Source organism: Homo sapiens, chromosome 21 (genome assembly GCF_000001405.40).
Source record: "Homo sapiens chromosome 21, GRCh38.p14 Primary Assembly".
Taxonomy (NCBI): domain Eukaryota; kingdom Metazoa; phylum Chordata; class Mammalia; order Primates; family Hominidae; genus Homo; species Homo sapiens.
In genome coordinates this window covers 28,219,725-28,231,231 of record NC_000021.9, presented here as the reverse complement: position 1 = coordinate 28,231,231, position 11,507 = coordinate 28,219,725, and the positions used below count along the sequence as shown (strand labels likewise).

Sequence of the window (11,507 nt, the reverse complement as noted above, 5' to 3'; positions counted from 1 at the left end):
ACTATATGAAAATTAAACTTCAAATGTGAAATCCTATACTATTTTGAAGACATTAGCTATATAAATCCAGGATGTGTAAAGAGGTGGACTAAGGACAGTTTATTTGCAAAAGACAGGTAGATGGCTTTTGATCGATTTCAAACTCCATATAAATTAATAATATGAAGTAGTTACCAGGCATAGAGAAATTGTTTTAACTTTAATTATAAGTTTGTGCAGCAGTAGGGATAAAAATTATCATAATGCCATCAACATTACATAATTCTAATTGTTGCATATTCTCTTCCAAACCCTGGCAACACAAGTAAATAAGTCAAATAGTTTAATCATAATGTATACATCATTGTTTAAATGTAGCTATGTCTATTTAATATCATATAATTAATGTGATTTTAAGCTTCATTTTTTCTAATGTAATGCCCTAGGTAAGGAAAATCATAACAGACTCTTGGGCCATGAATCACCCTAGCATAAAGAAACTTCTGGAGATGAGCTATGAAATGGCATGGAGTTTGGAAAGAAAGGAAATAGACAACATCCTGCCAGGGCAAAAAAGATTAGGGAATCGTGAAAGCTGTTTCTATTAATATCTACTTGAATGATCATTTTGTGAAAGAGAAATTACCAAGTCTTTCAAATTTTTTCTTTTCCCTGTTTCTAGAAAGCATAATAAGGATCAATTGGTTTCAATTCAACAAATTCTCATTGGTCCTCTATTAAATTCCAAGCATTGGGCTTGGTGTTTAGGGCTACATACAGGAGAACACAGATCTGTCTGACTTCATAAATATTACAGACTGGTAGAAAAACAAACTTAAACTCTTTGTCAACTCCTTTTAAAACTTCTAAGGTGAATTTCCAAATATTTCCGTTTTATAATAGTATCTTAATGTATGATTAATGTCTGTTATTTTATATATTTGTCATACATATTTCTGTTTATATAATAAAATACATGTTAGTAAAAATGAGTCTTCAGAAATGTTCACATACATTTATGGAAAAGATATGTTTTAGAGGCAAAGGGAATTTAGCGCACAATTACTACAATTGGCATTAATATTAGGATGTGATAATAGTTCCAAAGGGGTTAGTAAAATTAAAACGTTAGGCACTGATTGATACGTAGGAAAATTGAATTGGGCAATCTAGCCACTAATGACAAAACATGTTTGCAATAAGGATGATTCAGCAAAGAATTTACTCCTGCTTAGTAACAGTTGCAATTTTATCTTTTGAGATATAAATGTGCATATTTGCTTTATAACTGTTGTATGACTCAGAGTTTAGAGTTATCTTTTATCCTTAGCTTTATAAGCAGTGTATCCAATAGCAACATATGTAAGACTTGCGTTTTACATTGTATACATTTTACTTTGCATTACATTTCAGTATGATATCATTACAACAAAACAGAGGTTCAAAAATACAGCATGATCCTATATTAAATACAGACTTCTGGCAGTTTTAAAAATATTAAAGATGTGTAGTTTATTGTTTTAAGAAGTCCTCAAAATGTATTACCTAGTAAATCCTCTTAACTATGTTCTGTCACATCTTCTATTTAAGAAAATTGTTTTTTCAGTTTGTAATCACTCTATACAATATGTTCATTTTATGAAGCTTTGATTAGAAATGTAAGAATTTTATATATTATAATTTAATTGCATTATTCTCATAAAACATTACAAGATTGACATTGCATTACCTCACAATTTGTTTTATAAAATTTTAACCTTTGATCTTTAAATTGATATGCTGAGGGGATTAAATAACATTAACAAACTTGTCATGGATATGAAATTCACTTAGATAAGACAATAAAATATTGTTTTTTTAAATCAACAAAGTAAAATTCTTAGAAAAATAAGCTTTGCTCTTTAAATATATTTCTGAATTGTATTCCTGTCTGATAACTTTATTTACTAGAGTTGTGGATCTGTAAATGCATGATAAAATGCCAGCTAGTTAGCTTAAATTGCCACTATAAAAATGAAGAAGGGATACATGAAGCTACTTTTAAAAAGTCTTTATAAGCATGTTAAAGTATACAGCATTTGCTGGATAACATTCTTCTCATGGTTCTTAAATTCACTACCAACAAAAAAAGTAACAGCCAAAAGTAATTAACCAAAGAAACACAATTTAAAATTATGTAGAGAGTATGAAAAATCACCAGTATTTTACCTTCATTGATACTTACTCTATACTTTGCACTGTATACAAGCATTACCTCATTTAATCCTCACAAGAGCCATTTGAGGTAGCAACCATTATTACCTTCATGTAACTGAGGAATCTTAGGTTAAGTATTTAGCTGAATGTCAAGCAGTTAGAAAGTGTTATTAACAGATAGGTCCTTTAGCCCCTAGAGAATAAATTCTCTATGTCACTTTCACATGCTTCATAGCCCTCGGGCTACTGGGCACTAAGAGGCAGCATTCAAGGCATTCACCATTCAATAAGCCTTTAATGAAGTCTTCTTTGCATTTATACCAAACTAGGAGATATCCCTGTTTCTAGTTCTCCTCCCTCCCTCTGTCACCTCATCTAATATAGATCATCAAGATAGGTTGAAAGGGGAGTTCGTAGTCATCTCTTCTAATCAGGAGATCCCTGAAAGCCGAACATTTAAATGTTCTCTTCTTGAAATAAAAATACCATAGTTTTAGTTAGGAATGTGCTATGTTGAAAATAACAGAAAAACTGACCTCTGTGGCTTAAACAAGTAAGGATTTATTTTCCTTCCGTAGCTGGAGGAAGGGAGGTGCAGCTTTGGCTCAGCTCTTAACAGTGCAACATCTAGTGCCTCTATAGTTCTCTTGGACACAGATGGCTGCTTTCGAAGAAGAAAGAAGTGGAAAGTGATGGTGAGTTCTATGATGTCATCTTTCATTAGAAACAAATAGCTTTCCTAGAGCAACTTCACATTTCCTTTGAGGTTTCATTGATTAGAACTGGGTACTCTCGCCATGTGTAAGCTGCTAGAAAGGATGGAAAACTAGGGGTGGAGTGCAGCTTTAGGCTTATACCAGTGTTTCTCCATGGAAGCACTTTTGATGTTTTGAATGAATAATTCTTCAGTATGTTAGATTGTCTCATGTCATGTTCACCAAGCTAGTTCCTCTTCCCAATAATTTTGAAACCAAAAATACATCCACAGTATTCAAACCACTCCCTAGGGGTATAGAATTGTCTCATTTGTGACTCACTAGATTACATAAATTGTCTACTATCACTTAGGTCTGGGCACTTTGCTAGCACAAATAAAATAAAGATTTGTAACAAAAGAAAAAGAAAAAAATATATACATAGGGGAGGCAACATTCCCTGCCTCATCTACCAGATTGTGTAGATTTCTTATTCAAGTAATAAAATGTAAAATTTTAGTGTTTTAAAGCATTTCATACCATTTAAATGTTTAACATTATACATAATAGATTCCCCTCTTTTCCTCTCCCCTTCCTTCTTCCTTCCTTCCTTCCTTCCCTCCCTCCCTTTTTTTCTCTTTCCTTTTCTCTTTCTCTTTTATTCTTTTCTTTCTCTTCCTCTTCTCCCCTCCGTCTTGATTTTTTTCTTTCTCCTAACAAAGCAGGCTTATTACTATTCACACTTGGGGAAAAACAGTCCAAAACGGTTTACTTCTGACCTTTTATTTCTGTTTTTGGAAGCAAATAGAAATTATAAATTATTCTTGCTGTTAGTAGAACTTTCCTGTGTTTTTCATGATGATCTATTATCATGAAATGAGCACTTAGTGTTAAACTCTGCAATCTATCCTCAAATATGTTTCAGAATTCTTTCTTTTTCCTTCCTCCCTCTCTTTCCCTCTCTGAACATTGGGTCCTAAAAATACTGGGTGAAGCAGGACATAGACATCCACAAGGGAGTTGGGGAGAGGTGTAGTGGCTCAAGGTGAGGTTTCAGAGTGAGAGGACAGCCCGTAACGGGTGGGTTGCCCTGGACCAGGTGGCGGAGCTGAGGAAGGGCCTGGCGAATTTCAGGCTGGCTGGACGTCACAGCCCAACTCAGTGCAGGGTGTCACAGCACACAGTAGAATGAGAAATTGTGTCTCACAGAGGGTCAGCTTAGCTGGGGGAGCCAGAGTGCTAAGGTGAAGGGAAGGGACATGTATATGAAGCGAGCAGCAAGTGAATACAAAGTCGGACCTATGCTAAGAGAAGCCTGAACTGTGGTGTCAGAACACGAGACCCCCAGTTAAATTTAAACTTCAGATAAACAATGAAACTATACTGATGCTTTTAAAGAAATAATAGTTATACATATAAGCAGTATAACTTTTCTTGGGACACACTGATACTACAAAATAATTCGTTGTTGCTCTGAAATTCAAATTTAACTGAGCATCCTGTATGTTACCTGGCAAGTGTTCTACAAGGGGATAAGGGACTTCATGTGGCAGGCAGCCCAGGCTTCCAGGGTTGGGTAAGCAGTAAACCTGGATGGATCAGGGGTCATGGCAGAGGCAGGAGTTTGGTTATATACAGGGCATCTTATCAAATAGGTAAATATGTAAGCACAATGAGATCTGGGTTTCTCATTGTTGGAGAAGGAGTTTGCATTTATGGAAAGAAATAAAGAAAACCAGAATAGGCCCTGTGAGGTTAGATTGGAATTAGTTATTGGTATGAACTCACGGTTTTCAGGATTTATAGCTAGATCTAGAAATACATATAGATGTAAAACTCTGTGTCTGTATATGTGTGTGTGTCTGTATGTGCATGTGTGTATGTGTTTGTGTGTGTATACATATATTCACGAGGCTTCCTTCCACTTGGAAGGACTGGAGTAGCAATACTTCAAAAGCAATAAGCACACACTGTACACCCAGATCTTGGCTTCTCCAGGGGCTCTTGAGAAATGACTGATTCCAGTGTTGGAGCAGGGCAAATATTAGATGAACCTGGTATATCTTGTTGAGCCAGGAATGTTGGAAACATGGCAAAAGAAAAAGAAAGCACCTTGAAAGAACTGCTACTGGCCCAAAAAAGGTTCATTTGAAGATTAAAATAAAAATTTTGTTAAATAATTATAACCCACCTAATAAAAATTGGAAACTATGAACCAGTATAGGTATAAATAAATGATATGGTTTGACTCTGTGTCCCCACCCAAATTTCATCTTGTAGCGCCCGTAATTTCCACGTGTTGTGGGAAGGACCCAGTTGGGAGATGATTGAATCATGGGTCTCATGAGATCTGATGTTTTTTAAAAACAGGAGTTTCTATGCTCCAGCTCTCTTTGCCTGCTGCCATCCACGTAAGATGTGACTTGCTCCTCTTTGCCTTCTGCCATAATTGTGAGCCCCCCTCAGCCATGTGGAATGGTGAGTACAATCAACCTCCTTCTTTTGTAAATTGCCCAGTCTCAGGTATGTCTTTATCAGCAGCATGTAAATGAACTAATACAATAAGTAAATGAATAAGTTGAAATTTTTGCTGAGGAACAGGGTGTTTACTTCCCACAAAATACTAATTGCAAAGGGATAGAGAATACAATGGAGAGGCCTGGCAGATATCACTTTAGTCAAGTGATAAAGGTAATAGGAAGTTGGTGAGAAGACAAATCAAACTTGGGCACAATGTGATAGAATGAAAGGACACCTCATCACTTCTGTCTTATGCCTACCAAAGATGCTAACCTGAATCTAATATCAAGAAAACAGCAGGTAAACCCACATTGAGATAAATTCTACAAAAGCTAATGCTTGTAATATTCAAAAGTTCAAGGTCATGAAAGTCAGCAAAACTGAGCAGCTGTGTCAGAGTGAAGGGGACTAAAGGAAATATGGCAGCAAAACATAACATGCCATTCTGATTTGGACTTTTCGGTACACTGGATATTATGGGGATAATTGGTAAAAGTTGAACAGGGTCTGAGAATGAGACTGTAGTAAGGTATCAACATTAGTGTCCTGATATTGATGGTTATATTATGAGTATGTATTCTCCCTCCCTCTTTCTCCCTTCCTCCCTTTCCCTTTTCTTTCTTCCTTTCCTTTCCTCTTCCTTCCTTCCCCCTTCCTTTCTTTTTTCTTTCTTTCTTTCTTTCTTTCTTTCTCTTTCTTTCTTTCTTTCTTTCTTTCTCTTTCTTTCTTTCTTCTTTCTTTCTCCTTCCTTCCTTTTTTCTCTTTCTTTCTTTTTCTTTCTTTCCTTCCTTCCTTCCTTCTTTCTTGTTCTTTCTTTCCTTTCTTCTTTCTCTCATTTCCTCTCTTCCTTTATTTCTTTTTTATTTGTTTGTAAAATCCCTTTTTCTGTAGAACACACACACAAATTTTCACAAATATCTGAGTGTAATGAAACATCAGGTTGGCAACTATTTTTAAATAATTCAGAAAAAAGTGATTTCTACCATACTTGCAAGTTTTCTGTAGGTTTGAGATTCTTGTTCACCTAAATGTTTTAGGTGTTGACTGCTATAATTGCTATTAAATGCTTGAATACAGGTACAATTTGATTAACTGGAATGCATGAGGTATGGTATTTTCATTAATTGAACTTAATGGTTAACCAAGAGAGAAATAGAAATTCCCTTTTCATTCAATCTTTGTCTGGCACATTTCCAGATATATTAATATGTGTCACTGCCTTAGAAAGTTGAGTAGAATGCTCTTGCAATAAAGGTACTTGACAATCCATCCGCCCTATGGCATGTCATCTATCAATGTCATTTATAAAGTCATTCAGAGGTGCTACTCAGGTGAAACAGACGGCGATAAATCTGTGAACGTTCAAAAGATATGGCTTCTAAAACTGCTTTCATGGGTAAATCCTTGATACTGGCTAAGGCAAGCAGGAAATCTGGTTATAGTTCAATGATTCAGAAAGTGTGGTTGTCTTATCAAAAGTGGTGTCGAAATTCTCCTCCCATCTCAATTTGATAAAAACTTCTGGCAATATAGACATTAGGTCTTCCTCTAATTCCTGAAATGGAAAGTGCTATGTGCGTTATGTTATTGGGGTTCTGTGCCTCAGGGTCTTCATTGTAAAATAAAATATTGATAGTATTTATTTCACAGAGCTCTTATTCAGGTCATGAGAATAAAGTACTTGGATTGAAAGAGCTTAGTAAAAAGTGGCACAATTAGACAAATAAGATTAGTTGATAGAAATCACTACAAGTACCTCCACTTACAGTTTTTATCCCACTGAGGATGTCAGAATCTTAACTTTAAGTTAGTCAAGAGTTTAAGAGTCAAGATATCAAATAGTCTGATATCTGAAAAGGGTCTGTTTATAAAACTTGAAGAAAACAACAGAAGGTTTTTTTTTGGATATGAATGAACATGCTCCACAAAATAACCAAATTTACTTTACTGAAATTCAGAATAAGAAATGAATGCTGATTATATGGAATAAGGCAAGACAATATGTAACAGGTTTTTAAGTTAATTTCTTCCTTCTCCGTTTTGATGAAAGCACTGCATTTGCATGATTTGATTTTTATGTAACAAAGCCTATATTCATTATGTTGCAAAGGAGCAATTCACTCTGCCGACACCCTGACATTTGTCTCTGTTAGCCTGGGGAAGCATCAGGCCCTCTCTTTGCATGGGTTGCCCCTGAGCTCAACAGTTCTTGTTAATCTGGAGGATCTGTGATCCTACAAGTCCTTACACTGTTTGGCATGGGCTTTTGCTATCATCTGACAATAGGAAGAGTGTCTTCCCCATTAAGGGCAAGCACAGGTTTACATATATTGATCCTTATTATTAATTGTTGAAAATATTGAGGGAAATTTCATGGGTGAGATTGAACAGGGTAGGGAAGTATTTTCAGTTTCTGCTCTGTAATATGGACATTCAAGTCATTATTACTGCTGAGTTGCTAGCATTTTTCAAGCTGTCTTTTAGCCCAGAACAAGTCATAGTTTTAATATTTAAGTCACAAAGATCAGCCCATATAAAGAGAGAGTTTTAAGATTAAAAAATAATACTCTTCCTATCTCTGCGGTGCTTCCCTGAAATTTTTGCTCATCACTCAGCCTCTTTCATTGTTGTAGTCATCATTCAGGGATCACTGGGTGAATGAATAAGTTTTATGCCATCCCTTTCCACCCCTGATACTTCCCAAAAGGAAACATCGTTAGGTACTTATGCCAGTGTTTATACATAGAATTAGAAAAGCAAAAGTTCTTTGTATAATTTATAGTCATCATTTCATATTTAATAGCGTACAATCTTTTTTCAAATTGAAGTTTTAAAATAACTTAATTTGTTTCAGCTTGAATTAATTTCATTGGGATTATTACAATGCCATATCTGCAAAATTTAAATGTTGAAAGATGGAATTAGAGAAAAGAATAATAAGATTTTGTTTCAAAGTTCATATGAATGCTACTGATAAATCATAAATGAAAAAAAATTAAACAAACCAGTATAAAATTTTTCTGTCATGACTGCATTGAATGTGTGGTAATGGAAACTTGGTAAGCAGAGGCTGAACTGGAAAGTGGTTTATTTTAGATATAACAAAAGCCTGGAAGTGGAGTGTTCAAGGCTAACACGGCAAATGATAGATGTGAAATACCCCTGTTTTATTCAGTTTCTCAATCGGCCATCCTTAGCACATGGCCTTCAACCTCAGGCTTCTCTGCTTCAGCCCGTCATGTCTGTGTTCCAAGGGGAGAGAGAAGGACAAAAGCTTAAAGGCTAAGTGTGTAACTGTCAACTGAGGCAAACTTTCTCACCAACTTGAAGGGAAGTCACGCTCAAAGACTTCTTAAATCCTGTTGGCAAGAAGCACGGTATATGATTACTCCAGTGGCATTGAATTTTGCAAAGCTAAGTATTTTAAACTGGGCGTATTTCTAACTCCCAGAAAAGTAGAATTCTCTGATTAAAAGAAAGAAGAATAGACATCTGTCAGGACACTAGTAGTGTTGGCCACGAATGTCTGAATTTAGATAGATCCTAATAAAAATAACAATCATCAGGTTTCAGAATCTTTCTTCAAATTTGATTAGTGAAATATGTATCCCTTCCTACTACTTACTGAGTGAGAGAAATTTTCCATAGATAAGATAAAGTGTGACTTCATACATGATCATATTTACTTGGTAATCAGAGTTGCTTGTTTATAATACTTATAATAATTCATTTCCTGATAAATGGAGAAGAAAGTACATCCAAAATGACCTCTGTTGTTTCTTTTACATTCTTCTGTAATTTAAATGTTCTATGTTTCTGGGATTAATAGATAGAAGGAGAAATTTATGTATTAACAATTATTTAATGGTAACTCAAGTATTTGCCTTTACATTATATATACTATTATTTAGATTTGGAAGGACAGCAAAATTTGAATTTTATTTGTTACTTTATGTGGTACCAACAATACAAATTTAAATATATTTTTAAATAGATTTTAAAACTAATGTGATTCATTAGAAATACATGAAGTGTTGACTTTATAAGTGTTGGATCAATTAATATTTTTGTGTGACTTACCTTTACTATTGACAGCTTTTATTCTGATTTACGAAGCAAAACAAAATAGCAAATTTGGGGTACATTGGAGCACTTATGTTGAGTTACTCCAGACAAATTATTAAATAAAGTTAGTTATTCATGTATGCATTAATCAAATAATGTATCTCTTTTAAAATTAATTATAAAATTAACGAACTGTTTTCTATTGTCTCATTTAAATATTTGTTCTAACTGACATTAAGCTAAGTCCTAACAAATAGAATATAGTCTAGTTTTCAGCAATAATCAATTGTTTGTGTGTGTTAGTGTGTTTTGAGTAGAGGAGGTGATATAGCAATTGGTAGTTTGGTAAAAGAAAAGATAGAAAAAGAAGCAGCTCTAAAGTAAAAATTTAAAGCTGTGATGCTATCAAAGTTGCACATATTAACTATAAGAAAAAGCCATTTAAATTTGCATTGTGTGTGTGTGTGGGGGGGGAATGAAGTCAAGAGAAAATATTAAGTTACAAAAATAGGGGAAATATAAAAAACTTACAATGCTCAAAGGTAAAGAAAAAACAGAGTTTAAAGGAAATAAAGGTAGTAAGTATATATTTTTGAAAAAGAAAATCCTAGTTAATGGTAATCGCTGTCCCTGAGATATAATACCCAAGAAAAAATAGAAAATTAGGACTGAAAGATATAACAGATGAAAGTTTCCCTTACATGAAGGAAGGACTAATTTTTTTTTAGGTCAAAGAGAAACACTATCTTCCAGAAAGTATGCATAAAACCTGACTTGTATTGGACATATCTTGGCAAGTTATCAACATTCCAGGATTAAAAAAAAAATCTTCAGGAACCCAGGCAAAAAAGCAAGACCGACTTCAAGAATGAAATAAAAAAAAATTCTAGCTATATGCAGAACCAAAAGAAAATGGGTAATTGTTTACAACGTTCTGAATGAGCTAAGAACATCACATGAGCCAAATTGATGTCATTTAAGCATGAAGTCAACATTTTCAGTATTCTAAGAATAGCAGCTAGCACCCACTGAATAGTTGCTCTGGGTTAAGTCCTTTTCTTTGGCCTTTACAGGTATTATTGCACTCAATCCTCATAATAATCTCACGAGAGAAGGTACAGTTGTTATGAACAGGTAACTCAATAGACCTCTCTGTGTCACCTAGCATTTCTCTGCTTAAACACTGGGAATTGGGGCCTGTGGTCAAGCAGAGCCTAAATTTGCAGAAATGGAAAAATACAGAACTTGCAAACAGGTTGTGATGGTTAATACTGAGGGTCAACTTGATTGTATTGAAAGATACAAAGTATTGATCCTGAGTGTGTCTGTGAAGGTGTTGCCAAAAGAGATTAGCATTTGAGTCAGTGGGCTGGGGAAGGCAGATCCACCCTTAATCTAGTGGGCACAATCTAATCAGCTGCCAATGGTAAAGCAGGCAGAAAAACGTGAAAAGGGGAGACTGGCCTAGCCTCCCAGCCTACGGCTTTCTCCTGTACTCGATGCTTCTTGCCCTTGAACATTGGACTCCAAGCTCTTCAGTTTTGGAACTTGTACTGGCTCCCCTTGCATGGTCTCCACTCCTGCCACCCTGCCTTCTCTTCCCCAGCCTGCAACAATGGCCTCAGAAGGAGTTCCCTATGATCATTTGACAGAGGAAGAGAAGACTATGGCCAGGTTCACAGATGGTTCTGCATGACATGCAGGCACCACCTGAAAGTGGACAGCTGCAGCACTACAGCCCCTTTCTAGGACATCCCTAAAGGACAACAGTGAAGGAAAATTTTCCCGGTGGGCAGAACTTCGAGCAGTGCACCTGGGTGTGCACTTTGCATGGAAGGAGAAATGACCAGATGTGTGATTATATACTGATTAATTGGTTGTAGCCAATGGTTTGGCTGGATAGTCAGGGACTTGGAAGAAGCATGATTGGAAAATTGGTGACAAAGAAATTTGGGGAAGAGGAATGAGGATGGACCTCTCTGAGTGGTCAAAAACCATGAAGATATTTGTATCCCATGTGAGTGCTCACCAACGGGTGACCTCAGTAGAGGA

General features: G+C 35.5%; 1 long non-coding RNA gene across 1 annotated transcript in view; it reads left to right on the top strand.

Moving 5' to 3' along the window:
- The first annotated feature begins 2,564 nt into the window (after positions 1 to 2,564).
- The window catches only part of LINC01695 (long intergenic non-protein coding RNA 1695), a 112,574-nt gene continuing 103,631 nt past the window's right edge, over positions 2,565 to 11,507 (top strand). Inside the window, exons 1-2 of the long non-coding RNA NR_126012.1 lie at positions 2,565 to 2,870; positions 5,241 to 5,348. This is a non-coding gene — a long non-coding RNA (long intergenic non-protein coding RNA 1695). The remainder of the gene's footprint in view (positions 2,871 to 5,240; positions 5,349 to 11,507) is intronic.